The sequence below is a fragment of the Homo sapiens genome, chromosome 12, assembly GCF_000001405.40.
Source record: "Homo sapiens chromosome 12, GRCh38.p14 Primary Assembly".
NCBI lineage: Eukaryota > Metazoa > Chordata > Mammalia > Primates > Hominidae > Homo > Homo sapiens.
In genome coordinates, this window is record NC_000012.12 from 6,328,738 (window position 1) to 6,344,468 (window position 15,731).

The 15,731-nt window shown below is 53.4% G+C and overlaps 1 protein-coding gene across 4 annotated transcripts, besides 7 other annotated features; it reads right to left on the reverse strand.

Annotated features, from left to right (window-relative positions):
- TNFRSF1A (TNF receptor superfamily member 1A) lies at nt 34-13,339 on the reverse strand. 4 transcript variants are annotated; one of them, NM_001346092.2, is made up of 11 exons: nt 13,039-13,339; nt 5,354-5,507; nt 5,000-5,128; nt 4,630-4,779; nt 4,332-4,410; nt 3,139-3,256; nt 2,116-2,189; nt 1,861-1,974; nt 1,530-1,558; nt 1,041-1,329; nt 34-885 (listed from the first exon to the last, which is right to left on the reverse strand). In NM_001346092.2, the coding sequence occupies exons 6-11, from the start codon at nt 3,228-3,230 to the stop codon at nt 575-577; spliced, it is 909 nt and encodes a 302-aa protein (NP_001333021.1). In that variant the 5' UTR covers nt 3,231-3,256; nt 4,332-4,410; nt 4,630-4,779; nt 5,000-5,128; nt 5,354-5,507; nt 13,039-13,339; the 3' UTR covers nt 34-574. The 4 variants fall into 4 exon arrangements, 3 of the variants coding, with proteins under 3 accessions (NP_001333021.1, NP_001056.1, NP_001333020.1); NM_001065.4 differs by lacking the exon at nt 3,139-3,256; NR_144351.2 differs by lacking the exons at nt 2,116-2,189; nt 3,139-3,256.
- Nucleotides 1,501-1,630: an enhancer, noted in NCBI's record as "active region_5847". NCBI's record gives its function as "activates an Ori minimal core promoter by ATAC-STARR-seq in GM12878 lymphoblastoid cells {active_cell/tissue: GM12878}" and the evidence as "EXISTENCE:reporter gene assay evidence [ECO:0000049][PMID:35858748]".
- Nucleotides 5,585-6,455: an enhancer, noted in NCBI's record as "H3K27ac-H3K4me1 hESC enhancer chr12:6443488-6444358 (GRCh37/hg19 assembly coordinates)". NCBI's record gives its function as "activates a minimal SCP1, AML or CMV promoter by ChIP-STARR-seq in primed H9 embryonic stem cells {active_cell/tissue: H9 hESC(primed)}" and the evidence as "EXISTENCE:reporter gene assay evidence [ECO:0000049][PMID:30033119]".
- Nucleotides 8,198-9,067: an enhancer, noted in NCBI's record as "H3K27ac-H3K4me1 hESC enhancer chr12:6446101-6446970 (GRCh37/hg19 assembly coordinates)". NCBI's record gives its function as "activates a minimal SCP1, AML or CMV promoter by ChIP-STARR-seq in primed H9 embryonic stem cells {active_cell/tissue: H9 hESC(primed)}" and the evidence as "EXISTENCE:reporter gene assay evidence [ECO:0000049][PMID:30033119]".
- Nucleotides 8,384-8,473: an enhancer, noted in NCBI's record as "active region_5848". NCBI's record gives its function as "activates an Ori minimal core promoter by ATAC-STARR-seq in GM12878 lymphoblastoid cells {active_cell/tissue: GM12878}" and the evidence as "EXISTENCE:reporter gene assay evidence [ECO:0000049][PMID:35858748]".
- Nucleotides 8,466-8,760: an enhancer, noted in NCBI's record as "tiled region #11848; K562 Activating DNase matched - State 1:Tss". NCBI's record gives its function as "activates a minimal TATA promoter and a strong SV40 promoter by Sharpr-MPRA in K562 cells {active_cell/tissue: K562}" and the evidence as "EXISTENCE:reporter gene assay evidence [ECO:0000049][PMID:27701403]".
- Nucleotides 8,534-8,583: an enhancer, noted in NCBI's record as "active region_5849". NCBI's record gives its function as "activates an Ori minimal core promoter by ATAC-STARR-seq in GM12878 lymphoblastoid cells {active_cell/tissue: GM12878}" and the evidence as "EXISTENCE:reporter gene assay evidence [ECO:0000049][PMID:35858748]".
- Nucleotides 13,142-13,241: an enhancer, noted in NCBI's record as "active region_5850". NCBI's record gives its function as "activates an Ori minimal core promoter by ATAC-STARR-seq in GM12878 lymphoblastoid cells {active_cell/tissue: GM12878}" and the evidence as "EXISTENCE:reporter gene assay evidence [ECO:0000049][PMID:35858748]".

A 15,731-nucleotide genomic window follows, 5' to 3' on the forward strand; every position in this document is an offset into this window, starting at 1 on the left:
ATCCCGACAGACCACTGTCTCCAAGAGCAGAGCTTTAACTTCAGAATTTTAGTGTATGTACAAAAGTCCACAGCTCCAGCTGAAGGCCCCATTGTTCCGTGCTCGCCCCTGCCTTAGGACAGTTCAGCTTGCTATGTGCTTGTCCAGGCAGAGGGCACAGGAGTGCCAAGTTTCTATTAGTGTAACATGATTGATTTAAAAACAAAACAAAACAAAACAAAAACAAAAAAAACTGCTTATGCACTGTGAAAAAGGCTCAGGGACGAACCAGGGGCCCCCGAGCAGCCTTGCTGGTGAGGACACCCAAAACGGGCATGAGGCATAGCGTCCCTCATCCTCGCAAACCACCCACTCAGGCTCTTGAGCCCACGGCGCACCTCTCTCCGCGCGCACAGCGCTGACTGTCGGCGGCGCGCAGGCAGCTGAGAAAAGCTATGTACATCGAGGGGTTAGCACCAAGTAGGCGGCTGCTAGCTCCTGCTTGCCCCTGCAGGACCCCTCCTTTCCAGAAAAAAGTGGGGTTGGAAGGCGATCTCGCAGGACGGTCCTTAGAGCTGCCCGCAGGGGCGCAGCCTCATCTGAGAAGACTGGGCGCGGGCGGGAGGGCGGCGGGGCCGCAAAGCGCCTCCTCGATGTCCTCCAGGCAGCCCAGCAGGTCCATGTCGCGGAGCACGCGTCCCAGCAGCTCCAGCGTGGCCTCGCGCCGCGGCGTGCGCCGCCTCCAGGTCGCCAGCATGCTGTATTGCGCCTCGCGCAGGCAGCGCCCGTTCTGCAGCTCCAGCCGATCGATCTCGTGGTCGCTCAGCCCTAGGCGCCGCACGAATTCCTTCCAGCGCAACGGGGGCACGTTCTCCACCACGGCGTACAGCGTCGCGGGGTCATCAGCTGCGGGGACGCGGGCCGGTGAGCCTCGGGCGGCAACCCCAGGCCCCGCCCCGCATCCCGCGCCCTCCGCCTCTCGTGGTCCCCTCTGGGAGCGCCTCCCGCGCTCCCCCGGCCCTCCCCCAGCCTCCTCGTCTCCAGCCGCGGGAGAAACTCACTGTCTAGGCTCTGTGGCTTGTGGGCGCTGTCCTCCCACTTCTGAAGGGGGTTGGGGATGGGGTCGGAGGCGAGGGCTGTCGCAAGGATGGGGTCAGCCCCCTGATAGGGTGGTGCCACCTCTCTGCGGGGAGCCGCAAAGTTGGGACAGTCACCGGGGGTATAGGTGGAGCTGGAGGTGAAGGTGGAACTGGGCACGGGACTGAAGCCCAGGGTGGGGGTGAAGCCTGGAGTGGGACTGAAGCTTGGGTTTGGGGCCAGGGGCTTAGTAGTAGTTCCTTCAAGCTCCCCCTGAAAGAGAGAAGGTGGCGCAGCATTAGTGCGGCAGCGAAAACCAGCCCCGGCCCTCTTTATTCTACGTGGGGGTTGGGACTTAGAGGGAATGAGGCGAGCCCCCGGAAAGTGAAGGATGATTCCAGGGGATCTGAGCATTAGGCAATTATAAGGAATGGTCAGGGACATTTGGGAGTAACTCTCTCATTTCATCTCACCTCTTTTTCAGGTGTCGATTTCCCACAAACTGAGGAAAAAGAAAGAAAGCATCATAAATTTCACTTCCTCTCTCAGCCCTGGCACCCTGGACTCAGCTGGCAGTGGGGACTTGTGGTGACATGCCTCAGGGCCTATGTGGCCCCAGGGACGAGAGAGCTACTGATGCAGCTCGACATCTCCCCAGCCATCCAGGGCCACCTTCTGCCCAGAGTCCCCAGCGGTATGAACTGAGGGGACACTCCTCACCTCCCTCCACACATGTCCATCGCACCCACCCATGTCCTCCCTCACCCCCACCAGCTCCCTCTCCCTCCCAAAGCCCCCACTCACCAATGGAGTAGAGCTTGGACTTCCACCGTTGGTAGCGATACATTAAACCAATGAAGAGGAGGGATAAAAGGCAAAGACCAAAGAAAATGACCAGGGGCAACAGCACTGTGGTGCCTGCAGACAAAGCAGGTGTTGGTCAGAGGAGCGGGCAGAGGGGGGCCGCAGGGATAGATGGATGGGTGGGATGGATGGACGGGTGGGGGCAAGAAGAGGGAGAGGGCAGGTGAGCATGGGCACCAGGTCACTTCTCCTCACCTGAGTCCTCAGTGCCCTTAACATTCTCAATCTGGGGTAGGCACAACTTCGTGCACTCCAGGCTTTTCTTACAGCTAAAAGAAGAGACGGCACTGGTGAACAGAGGCCCTACCATTGGAGGAACACAGAAAAACAACCACACAGATTGTTGGACATCCTTTCTTTACAAATATTTTTGCTGTCTCTTGATATAATTTGTTTTGGGAACTGATGCAGAAGAATGAAACACAGTTAATCATAGAATCATTTAATTTTAGAATTGGCAGGGATCTTGAAAAGGCTGTGTAGAAAATGTGAAAAGCAGTCAGGGTCAGGGTGTAAATTCCAGTTCATTCCTTGGCTAGCAGTGTGAATCTAGGCAAGCCATTAACCCCCAAGCCTCGGTTTCCTCATCACCACAGGGATCGCCCACCTCTCAGGATTGAGGATTAAGCAAAATCATTATGCCTCATTTAATAAGTGCTTGAGAAGGTAGCCAGCTAGCTGTTATGGGATTGTTGTTTCATCACTGTTTTGCTGATAAGAATCCTTTGGCAAAGAGAGGTTAAAGGGCTTTTTCTTAAATGACACTGCTAGTTACAGTACCTGACTTCGGGGAGTCGGGGTCAAACATGCATGTGAAAAATTTAAAAACACATGTTACTGGGGCAGCCAGAGAGCACCCTGTAGAACTAGCAGATCTTCCATGTTGGGAGTTGTCACTGGACAGTGTGGAGTGATGGGAACTCTATGGGGTGGTGCTGGAAGGAACTTGAGAGAGTGAGTTCCCAGCAGGAAGCTGAAAGCAGGGAGAGGCACTTTAGCCCACCACTCAAGCTCATGGTGAGAACCACATAGAATGGTATAAAAGTGATTTCAAGAAGAGATGAAGCCGGCTGGGTGCAGTGGCTCACGGCTGTAATCCCAGCACTTTGGGAGGCAGAGGCAGGTGGATCACCAGGAGTTTGAGACCAGCCTGACCAAGATGGTGAAACCCCATCTCTACTAAAAATACAAAAATTAGCCAGGCATGGTGGCACGTGCCTGTAATCCCAGCTACTTGGGAGGCTGAAGCAGGAGAATTGCTTGAATCTGGGAGGCAGAGGTTGCAGTGAGCCGAGATCGCGCCACTGCATTCCAGCCTGGGCGACAGAGCAGGACTCTGTGTCAAAAAAAAAAAAAAAAAAAAAAAAGAAGATTAATGGAAAATAAATAGTTTTGTGTCAGACGTGTTGTAGGTTTTGTTTGTTTCTTTGTTTTTGGTTCTCACAAATTCACCAAATGAATGTCATTATGCTTACTTTAAATATAAGAAATCTAAGGCCCAGGCCAGGCGTGGTGGCTCATGCCCGTAATCCTAGCACTTTGGGAGGCTGAGGCGGAAGATCGCTTGAGCCCAGGAGTCCGAGGCCAGCCTGGGCAATATAGTAGGACCCTGTCTCTACAAAAAGTAAAACATTAGCTGGGTGTAGTGGTGTGTGCCTCTAATCCCAGCTACTCAGGAGGCTAAGGCAAGAGGATGGCTTGAGCCCTGGAGGTGGAGGCTGAGCCACGGTTGCACCACTGCACTCCAGCCTGGGTGACAGAGTGAAACCCTGTCTCAAAAAAAAAAAAAAAAAAAAAACACCAAAAGAAAAGTCAGGCTCAGAGATGTTAAGAAACTTGCCCAACGTCACATAGCCAGTAAGTGGCTATGCTGGGGTTCAAACTCTGAGAGCCCTCAGAGTTTATTCTTTGCAAGTGAGTGACAAGAACAGCCTCTGTGGAGCCAGGAGTAAGGAGGCCTGGACAGTGACTAATGAGGAAATACCATATTGCATCAAACCTAAGACGCCATCAAGAATAAAAGGCACTTTTCTTTACATTACTACCCAGACGCAAACAGAGCTGCCAATTCAACCATGATGAGTCACCAGTTATAGGAGGTTTGATTTCAGAGCTATAAGAGTGTATGTCCTAGAACCAATGAGCTATCGTAGATCCAAGAATCTACATATCTGAGTTGGAAGGGCTGCCAGCCCTTGGGGCATGATCTTCCATCCTCAAAGACTTCTTCAGATTTGAAGAGCAAGGGGAAGGACTGCCTGGTGTCTTAACGAAGTGTCTCCTACTCAGCCAGTAGGACCCTGAGCACTCTGGGGCATCCTGGCATCTGTTGCCCAGCTAATGGTTCCCACCAGTCACCCGTCCCAACCCATGCCACCATCCAGTGCCCAGCAGCTCTCAGAGATACTCACTTACTACAGGAGACACACTCGTTTTCTCTTAGAAAGAAACCTGCATGGCAGGTGCACACGGTGTTCTGTTTCTCCTGGCCTGTAGGGAGAAGTGCGGCACAGCTAAAGGAGAAGCGCCTGCACCCCCACCCCACAGGACAGAGGAAGTGACGAGGGACAGGGTGGGGGCGGCCAGAGAGGAGTTGGTTGTCAGACCCACAGAATACAGGAGGGGGAAGGAAAGGAAGTGCCACCGCATGGGGAAGGGGCCAACCCCTGGGGTGGGGAGAGGGCTTGGCCTCAGGAGAGCTGCGCTCACAGGAGAGGTGCACGGTCCCATTGAGGCAGAGGCTGCAATTGAAGCACTGGAAAAGGTTTTCACTCCAATAATGCCGGTACTGGTTCTTCCTGCAGCCACACACGGTGTCCCGGTCCACTGTGCAAGAAGAGATCTCCACCTGACCCATTTCTGGTGAGGGGAGAAGATGGGGTATGAGTCCTGCATCCTCCTGTCCCTGCATCCCCTTCCTGACATACCCCTAAGTGTGTGTCTCTGTAATACACACTCACATCCATGCAGTGTCCCACCAAAACACACACCTTCCTGCCCACACCCACCAGCCTGCACATAGACAGGCACCCACACACCACTCAAGACCCGCCTGACTCTCCTGCCTGTGCACACTCACCCTTTCGGCATTTGGAGCAGCTGAGGCAGTGTCTGAGGTGGTTTTCTGAAGCGGTGAAGGAGCCGCTCTCACACTCCCTGCAGTCCGTATCCTGCCCCGGGCCTGGACAGTCATTGTACAAGTAGGTTCCTGTGAATGGGGCCGCAGAGTTAGGCTGCGGGTGAGAACACAAGGAAGGAGCCCCATGCTAGGGACAACAGCCAGGGCCGATTCCCTGAAGTCTCTAGGAGAGGAGGGAGGGAGAAAATCCCAGCCCAGGAGAGACAGCAAAGTTAGGGAAGAACAACTGGAAGAAGCAGAGAAAGAAGCAGCACCCCAGACCTGAGGGCATTCACCGTTTCCACTTGCCCCTACCTTTGTGGCACTTGGTACAGCAAATCGAATTATTTTGAGGGTGGATATATTTTCCTTGGGGACACACACTATCTCTCTTCTCCCTGTCCCCTAGGTGAGGGACCAGTCCAATAACCCCTGAGGGGTATATTCCCACCAACAGCTCCAGGAGCACCTGGGGAAGAATCAGATAGAGGAGACACCATCAAGAGAGGGAGGGATGGGAAGCTTAGGGGTAGCAGATCTAAAACTTCCCTGGCTCAAGTCCTTCCTCAGTGAAACATTCCGCCCAGGCCACGCCACTCACTAAGTTTAGAGTTCTTCCTTGAAACTTAGACAGTTGGGGCCATACAATCTGATGCTTAATTGTTCTCTAGTTGTCCTGTGTGTTCATTTTTGTTCCCTCAACTCAAAGCTAGTAGGCCCCAGATCTAAGCTGTATTTTTTTTTTTTTAGGCAGGATCTTGCTCTGTTGTCCAGGCTGGAGTGCAGTGATGCAATCACTGCACCCTCCACCACCCACGCTCAAGCAGTCCTCCCACCTTAGCCTCCTGAATAGCTGGGACTACGGCCGTGAACCACCATGCCCAGCTAATTTTTTTTTATTTTTAGTAGAGGCAGGGTCTTGTTACGTTGCTCAGACTGGTCTCAAAATCCTGGGCTCAAGTGATCCTCCCACCTTGGCTTCCCAAAGTGCTAGGATTACAGGCGTGAGCCCAGCCCTGTATTTTATCCTTACTGTGAAATCCCCCACAGCAGCTAACAGTGCTGGACACAGGGCAGATGTTGAAAGGATGTGTTTTTGATTGGGAATTGGCAGGTTACTTCAGTGATGGCCCCTTCTTCCAACAAGCAGCCCTAAAGATTGGGGCGGTGTTTCTCCATCTGGGTGCTGGGTTCACCGTGTGATCGCTTTGCGAACATTCACAGAGGTAAACAATGAGGATCTATGCACATCCCAGGAATATGTTACACCATGAAAAGCTTTCTGAAAAAGTCAGCTGGCGGTGGGGGCGAGTGATGTTCCCGTGAGCACCACTCCTGGGGAGTGGACAGAAGAAGGAAGTTTATTTACATGTTTGTATCAAACCTCAATCTGCCTCCGCCCTCACATTCCCTGGCCCATCCCCTCCACCTCAAAATTTACAAACACCCGGGGTTGGCAAGGACAAATGGGGAGGAGAGTAAAAGGGAAAGGTTGGGGATCCTGCATGGGTAGACGGGGGACAAAGTTGAGACGGGGGCAGGAGTGGGCAAAGGTGTGCAGGACATAGGCAAATAGAGCTGGCCAAGGCTAGCGACCCAGCTTGGATGACTGTCAGGTCAGAGCTGAGGGCGTGCTGGGGAGTCCTGGAGCCCCCTGCACACCATGGCATTCTGGAAGGTGTGCTTTGCAGTCTCAGGCCAACCCCACAGCAGCTAAATGGCTTGTCCTGTTCCGGCATCAGTGCCAGGAAAGCAAAGCCAGGAGTGAATATTTAGCTCTAACTTGGACTTTGATCTCTGCCAGCTTCATTTCTGGTTTTCCCTGGGCTTCATTTTTTTTTTCTACTATAAGAGACACTTTGTGTAAAGATAAGAGGGTGTCCTCAATGTCTGTTAAACACTGGGGAGCAACTGACTCACCAGATCACAGAAACCCTAGGGCAGGGAAGGAGGGTCAGGCAGCCCACAGCCACCCAGCCTCACCAACTCCACATTTCGGAGCAGGAGGCCAGTCACCCTGAGTCAGCCACGGGGAGACGCTGCAGCTGTAAGCTGTGCAGGCCCGGAAGTTCAAGCCTCAGCCGCAAACAGGGGAAGCCACACACAGAAACACAACAGCAGCCCCCGCAGGTGGAGGCGTGTGCCCCTGCTCAGAGGACAACAACCTTCCCCTGCCCGCACCAGCCAACACCGTGCCACCTCTGCTGAGAACAGGACTGGGGCTTCCAGGGCAACAGGAAGGGTTTGGGGTGGTGATGGGAAGAACTTCCCAGTCCTGAAAGTGTGGTTCCTTTCCCCGAAGAAGCCACTGGAGCACCTAAGGTCACTGGTACTTTGAATCCCATCCAGGGGGCTTGAGGCAGAGTCATGATGAAGAACTGGGGGACGCCAGCCCCAGACAGCCTTAAAGGGAGCTTTTCAGGGACCTCTGGCCAGTGGGGGATGAGCCTCCCTGGAGGGAGGGAGGGAGAGAGGCTTTCTCAGGCCACGTGTTCCCTTCTCTTTCCAGCACTCTGGGGGTTAAGTCAGATCCGGGAAAGGGAAATCTTTTCCCAGCAACTCCGCCCCAGTGACTCAGGCCAGAGGGAGGGAGACCTAGGGAGGGGAGAGGGAACTAGCAGCTTCCCCAGCTCCTCAAGGGTCATGAGTCAGCAGAAAGGCAGAAGGCACCAGCCTGCATGCAAGTGGGACTCCATCTAATCCCTTCTTCCTATGGCCAAGTCCCTCCTTCCCATCCCCACTCAACCCCCATCCATCCCCTCCCCATGCAAAGAGCCAGGCCACAGACCCTTGTCCCACTTGGCCCACATGTTCCGGGAAATGCCTCCCTCTCCCCATTCCATCCCGAAGGGAAGTCTCCCTCGACCCTGGCTTCCGCCCATCAGGTCTGTGCCCTCCCTTCCCTGAGGGCCACTTGGCTCCTCCTAGCCCCTCAGCGGCCTTTAGCTGAGGCCCCGCCCCAGCTCCTCCTCCCAGTTCAACAAGTCTCCAACAGCTAAACCCATTCCGTGAGCTCTCACTCCATCCCCCAACACTCCCCAGTCCCAGCAGGAAGCAAGCCAAGGCTGCCCTCCCACCCTGGGTTCACCGCATTCCCACAGCCTGGCTGGTTCTGACCAGTTGTGCTGGGTTTGGGGGCCTCCCTGGGGTCCCCAGACAATCCTTAGGAAACAAGGCCAGTTCTGAGTCTCCACAGACCCTCCCCAAGCCCACTGGCAATACAGGAAAGCCTCCAGAGCCCTGAACACCCACTTCCAGGAACGAGGGAGCAGGCAAGAAGGGATGCCGGATGGAAGAACCAGCCCTGCTTCCTAGGCTTCCCCTGGCCCCCAGAATGCTCCAGGTCAGCCCTCTCTGATCCCTAGGAGCCAGGGCCCTCAGACTCCCCACCACTGGGCACCACTGCTGGCACCAGCTGGCCCCAGTAAGCCCAGTCCTCAGCAGTTGCGTAAATGAAGCAAAACAGGAGAAACAGGAGGTGAGCTCTTTAGGCCCAGACTCCAGCCTGGAGCAGAAGGGCAGGAAGCTGGGGTGCCTGTGGAGAGACAGTTGAGGGGGTGGCCCAACACCCCTCCAACTCCCCCACAATTTCCGCCAGAGGAGGCTTTAAAGTGTGACTTCCTGTGCTGGGGCTGCAGAGTGGGGAGGCGACGCTGAGATCGGCCTTGTGGTCTGACCCCGATCCAGCCACCTTGCAGGGACCCAATTAGTCTTCCTTTCCCCCTCATTCATGTGTCTGTTCATTTAATGTCAAGGTGTTGGGGGAGGTCGTGGCAGCTTCTCCTCCAAGGGCCCAGTTGAGATCCCATCTCCCTCCCGTGAAGCCACCATTGACGATGTCTGTTTCCTCCACCCCGGCTCCTTAGACCCATAGTCCCTGTGAACTCGAAGCACGTGAACTGACCCTATCTACTTTTGGCTCTTATCATAATATGGTTATGTTGGGTGACAGATATGATCTCCCCAAAGTGACCACGAACCTTATAAGATGAGAGATCAAAAAATGTCTTGGTCAGAAAGTGTCTTATCCTCCCCTGGTGTCCTCTCAGCTCCCAGAACCAGACCTCCAGACTGGGAGCAGATAAATATGGATCAACTGATCGATCTAATGATACATCTGTCTTCCACTCTAGTAGAAGCCAGTGATTCCCAAAGAGGGAGGTGAGGAGACAGCACCCCTGGTAGGAATATATTTATCTCCGGGGGAGAGTTTTCAGACCATCCCCCCACCTCCCCACACACAAGCACACACACCCTTACTTAAGAGTCTGGTGTGCTCCTCTCCTTTTGAGAACCACTGATGAGTGAACACAGTGTGTCTGAATGATACAAAGGCAGAAAGAAGTTGCAGCACCTCTCCTCCAGCTTGGTAGGCGCACCCTTCCACATGACCATTTCCCTGACCCTTAACATGCCCCAGACGGAATTCATCCATCTCCTCACCTAGACAAATGACACACCATCGACTTCCCGGACGAATGCTGAGAACTTGCCACGCTCTCTCCCCAGGGCCCCATCCCTATCCCTGCCGCCATCCCATGTGTCAGTTCATCTTGCGAGGCCTCCCCCTGTGATCTCTCGGTCCTCTCCGCATTCCTGGGTTGCCTCACACCTGGGTTATTGCAAGTGTCTTCTAGCCTCTCTCCTGCTCCCATCCGTCCTACACACTTTTTAAATCTTCATTCAGGCTTTAACTTGCACGCACAAGTGTGTGAACCTTCCTCTCCATCTCCAGGGCCTGGCTCCAAACAGCATTTCCATGGTCATGGAAATGATCTGAAGACTTCCACAGATGCCTCACTACTTTTTTTTTTTTTTTTTTGAAACAGGGTCTCACTCTGTCACCCAGGGTGAAGTGCAGTGGCACAATCATAGCTCACTGCAACCTTCACCACCAGGACGGAATGTAGTGGTGTGGTCAGGGCTCACTACAACCTCCACCTCCTGGGCCCAAGCCGTCCTCCCGAGCTCAGTCTCCCGAATAGCTGGGATGACAAGCACGCCCCACCATGCCCCGCTAATCTTTGTATTTTTTGTAGAGACAGGGTTTTGCTGTGTTGCCCAGGCTGGTCTCGAACTCCTGGACTCAAGCAATCCACACACCTCGGCCTCCTGAAGTGCTGGAATTACAGGCATGAACCACAGCACCCATCTGAGATGCCTCACCTCACTTCTAATCACAGTCTGGGCACAGAATGTGCCCTAGGAGAACAGCTTCTGAATAAACGAATGAATGAATTCCTCCACCTGGAACCATATTCAACACTCTTCCTCCATCCTCTCCCCCACTCCCTCTAATTCTCCCATTCACATTTCTTAGTGTTTCTCAACATGGTTTTTCCACTCCCGAACCAAGGTGTCTGGCTTCCTGCCACCCTGCCCATCAACACAAAATCCCATCTCTCCATTCCTCTCCTCTTCCTCACATCAGTATCCAACTCTGCTTCCCTCCTTTATAGCTACCCTGACAGGCAGTGACTTCAGATGTCAGCTCCACATCCACTTTTCTATGAGGCTTTCCCTCCGCCATCCCATCTGACACATCTCTTGTTCCTTAATTCCTTCAGCAAATAGTTAAGGGGCACAGTTAATGTGACAGGTCCCGTATGGGTGCTAGGGATGCTGAGGTGGATAATACACAGCTCGTGCTCTCAAGAGCTCTCACTTGAGTCAAAGACAGTCAGTTGTAGGCACTGAGATCTATACAGGGAGTGCTGCAGTTGCACAGTGAAGGACACTGAAGCAGCGTGGGGAAGCTCCTGAATTTTCTGGAGCTGAGCGCAGGAGCTGAGACCTGCTAAGCAAGGAAAGGCAGTGGACTAAGGCTCACCTCCTTCCCCAGTTCCTCCTCCTCCCAACTGGTGCTCCAGGACACCACATCACAATGCATTTGTGGATATTTTCCTCGGGATTGCTCTGAAATCATTTTTCACTGTAAGCCATCTTGGTTACTAGGCTGTAAGCTCTTTGAGAGCAGCAAAATCCTGTTTGCTTTGCCACAGTCTCTCCTGTATCATTCTTCCCTACTCCCCTACCCCACTTCTCTCTCTCTCTCTCTCTCTCTCTCACACACACACACACACACACACACACACACACACTGTGAGCTCTGCATTGCCCACTGAATGGTGAGAAATTCAGAAGGATGTTGCATTCCCTTTGTTTTCCCTTTCCTCCAGCTCCAGGCCAGGCTTCTGTCCCTTAGGAGACATAATCCCACCTGGGCTGAAGCACCCCAGGACGCAGGCACTTCCCTTTACCTGTTCAGGCTACCTTTACCCTCTGTTTTCCCAACACAGGTAGCCACCCAGTAATTACTACTAGTCACAGCAATATAAAAACTTTATTGAGTGCTTTCTATTTGCTACAACCTATTCCCCTGATGGACTGTCAAAGCTGTGGGCAGGGATTTTGTTCTCTGCTGTAATCCCAGCACCTATCACAGTGTCTAGCCCAGAGCGCACACTTAATAAATCAAATGAACACTTAACATGTATCAGTCTATTCAATCTTCAAAACAACAGTATGAGGTCAAGACTGTGACACCCATTTTGGAGATAAAGAAACGAAGGCATGGAAGGTTAGGTTATATAAGCTGCTCTTGTTCATGCAGGAGGTATGTGAGGGAGCCAGGGGCCGCCCCCAAACAGAAAACAGAAGCAGGATGTCAGGGCAGCTGGCTGGTGGGGAGACCGTGGGGGAAGGACAGTGGGAAGAAGGGAAGAGCGGGTGGGACTAAGGAGGCAGGAGGAGGCAGAAGAAGAAGAGTGAGACCCTGACCAGAGACGTGCTGCCTGGGGACCTGGGGCCGGGACCAGAGCGGAGCAGAGAGGAGGGGAAGGAGGATTAGCGAGAAAAGATTTCAAAAAAAGAGGCTCTGAGAAGTCTGAGGAGAGTCTGGGGAGATTGCTGGAAGAAAGGAATGGTAGGAGAGGAAGAGTATAAGGCACTAAAGAGAGGGGAGGTAGGCGCAGCCTTCAGAGGCCGGGCAGGGCAGGGAAAATCTGCCTGACTAGATGGGCCCAGGACATCTGAACAGGATGATTCCCGGACCAAGACGTGGAGGACGATCAAGGATACATTGAAACAAGGCTGAGGCCAGAGAAAGGGACATTTTCCAGTGACGAAAACAACTTTCTACCAACTTCCCCAAACTGAACTGTAGAATAAGAAACCAAGGGATTGTTGTTTAGGTCTGTGAGAAGCAGCGGGGAGGGGAAGCTGGAGGACAGGCCCAGGGACACTGACCAGGTGGGGGTAGGACTAGCTCCCTGGGAAGGCTCAGTCCCACAGCGGCTACCTGCCTAGCAGCAGGCAAAAGGGTAAAGAATGTCCCCAGGTGAGAGGCCGGGGCTTGGCCAGGGCACTGGGGACACTGTCCACTGGGTTGCCCTGCCCCATCCAGTGTCCCAGCCCATTCTCAAATACCTCCCACCATGAGCATCCCAAACCCACCACACCAGCCCATCCCCACTCCTCAACTCACTCCCCCACTTCACCAGCCGCCAAAATCCTGCCCTACAGGGTGTGCTCCACCAAGTTCCACAGGCAGCCTCGCCTCCCCACGGCCCAACACCCTCCAGGCCAGCCAGCTGACCGGAGGGACAGAATTCAGAACCGTCTGGACTCCCCGAGCACTAATCTTCCTACTCCCACTCCCTTCTTTTCCCCGCCAAATCTGCCCCACCCTGGGCCTATCTCCTGCCCACATTCCCTTGGCCGCCCACAAACTTCCACCGCTGTCAGGGGCCAGGGCTTCCTTTTACTCTCTCCCTTTCAAACTTCTCCCATTCCCCTGCCTCAGCGCAGCCCCTACTCCAAAAGGCGGATGAATGGGGAACCCCACACTGGCAGTGGCTGAGGTTAGGACCTGCAGGCCTGAGGCTGGCGCCAGGACCAGGCCCGGGCAGGAGAGGCTCGGCCCCCTCCCGGAGAGGGCCCACGCCAGCCGGAAGGTGCCTCGCCCACCAGCCCACTCTTCCCTTTGTCCCTGGTCTCACCAGTGGCAGCAGCAGGTCAGGCACGGTGGAGAGGCCCATGCCAGACAGCTATGGCCTCTCACTCCCCCATTTGGGCTCAGGGCAGTGTGGCAGCGGCAGTGCTGGGGCTTCCCGGGACTCGGTCTGTCCAGGACGTCCCAAGTGCCTTGGGGTGACAGTTGAGGGTTGAGACTCGGGCATAGAGATCACGGCCTGGTCCCAGTGATCTTGAACCCCAAAGGCCAGAACTGGAGCCTCAGTCCAGAGAATTCTGAGAAAATTAAAGCAGAGAGGAGGGGAGAGAAGGTGGGAGGGGAAGAGTGAGGCAGTGTTGCAACAGCGGGACAGGAAGAGCTGGAGGAGGAGGCCACAGGAGGCGGGAGGAGGAGGCCCAACGTTCTTTAACTCTTTGTAGTCCAGTCACAAGCACAGGAGTCCCAGATCTGGCTGCCTTGTGCCCCCAACCCACCAATCCGACCACTCCCAACCAAACACCAAGGGGCAATAAGCCCCTTGCCCACATCACTAGCCTTTCCCAGATGGATCACAGCAGTGAAAAGATCCAGAGTCTGGGAGTCAAATTCTCTGGGTTCCAATTCAGAATGCTTAGCTTTTTAGCTAAGAATGTGTCTTGGACACATAAATGAACTTCTCAGACACATAACTGAAACTGTCTGGATCTGTTTTCCAATTTGCAGAGTGGAGATAACCTGTCTCCTGGGGTTCCTGTAAGGATTTGTTCAGATGGGAGAGATATAGATAAGCGTCCGACACATGATAGGTACTCCATGTCCCTTAGTAATCCTCCCCTTTACTCCAGAGTTCTTCACTAGCCTCCTAGTCTCCCTCTTTCTTGGGAATTTACTGATCCAATCCAAAACTCAAAGTAAGTCCCAACCCTCGTTTTCTGCCCTGACTGGGTGCCTGCCATTCCTCACCCCAGGTCTCATCCAGTCTCTGCCTGGCCAGGTCCCCCCACCCTGCCCCACTGTTGATCCTGGCTCTGCCACCAATCATGCGACATCAGGCAACTCCTCTCCTAAGCCTCTGTTGGTTCCTTGTTTATTAAACAGGGGTAACAATGTCTGCCCACCTACATGGGGAAAGTGATGCCATGAGAATCAATGAGACGTATCCACGAAGCTGCCGTGGAAATAAAGATACCTCCATCAGGTGTTCCTAGCATATTCCCAGTGCCCTTTTCCTAAATATTCCAATACATCAATTATAACTCACCTTACAGATCATCGACTACAACCCCCTAGGTTTTTTTATTTCTTCGTTTGCTTGTTTTTCATTTTTGTTTTTGTTTTGAGGGTCCGCTCCGTTTCCCAGGCTGGAGTGCAGTGGTACCATCGCAGCTCACTGCAGCCTCGACCTCCCAGGTTCAAGTAATCCTCCCACCTCAGCCTCCCAAGCAGCTGGGACTATAGGTGCATACCACCACGCCTGGGTAATTTTTGTATTTTTTGTAGAGACAGGGTCTCACCATGTTACACAGGCAGGTCTTGAACTCCTGGGCCCAAATGATCTGCCCACCTCAGCCTCCTAAAGTGCTAGGATTACAGGTGTGAGCCACCGTGCCCACCCAACTGCCCGGTTTTATAGAGGAGAAAACTGAGGTCCAGAAACCCAATGTGCCAGGAGGCAGAGCCAACAGAGAACCCCAGACTCCCGACTGCCGGTCCAAGGGCCCCTTTGGCTATGAGAGACACACTGCCACTTTTTCTGTCACTGAGTCAGACCCCACATCCTGACTCTGGTTACTTTATGCCATCCTCATTGATGCAGACATCTCCCAAGAGAATCCTACAACAAAGGTACCACATTTACCCAACTATCTTCTTGGTACAATGACCTTCCCTACATCCAGCCCCGCCCAAGGGCCTGCAGCTGCTGAGGCTGCTAGAAATGCAGGCAGACAGAGAAGAGGGAGGTCCTAGGGCTTTGGAACTTGAAACCAGAGCTCCTCACCCCTTATCCCTCTGAGATGACCTCCCAGCCCCAAGTCCACCGTCCCCTGGCTCTTCCTGGCTTCCCCTCTGTGATCCGCAGATGAGAATGGAGCTTCAGTGTCCCTCACTGCGGGGGGAGCTGACTTTACTCCACCCCATCGTCCAGCTTCTGGAGAACTGTAGGGTTGAAGCTGGATTCAGAAAGGAAGCAGCTCACCACCATCACAAAGGGAGACCCCAGGGACAGGAGAAGCGAACCCAAAGCAGTGTTCTTGAAGAAGCAGGAGCCTCAGAATCAAGTGCAAGTTTCCAGTATGAAGCAGCGAGAAGAACCTCGGTCTGCTCATCTAAAAAATGGGAAACCTGCTGGTACCCTTCACAGAGCTAGCTTGATGCTTAAATCAAGCATATAAAGTGTTTGGCAAGTGTTTGCCATATATTAAGCATTTAGTAAGTGGTAGCAATTAATTTTTTTTTTGAAACAGGAGCTTGCTCTCACCCAGGCTAAAGTGCAATGGTGCAATCATAGCTCACCTAACCTAGAACTACTGGCCTCAAGCTAGCCTCCCACATCAGCCTTCCGAGTGGCTAAGACTACCATCGCACACCACTATGCCCAGCTAGTTGTATTAATGATTAATAACAACTTCAGAAGGATAAGTGATACAGGGGAGTATGGTATGTGAGAGGGCGGCAAAAAAAAAAAAAAAAAGCAGAGTGCGGTGGCTCACGCCTGCAATCCCAGCACTTTGGGAGGCT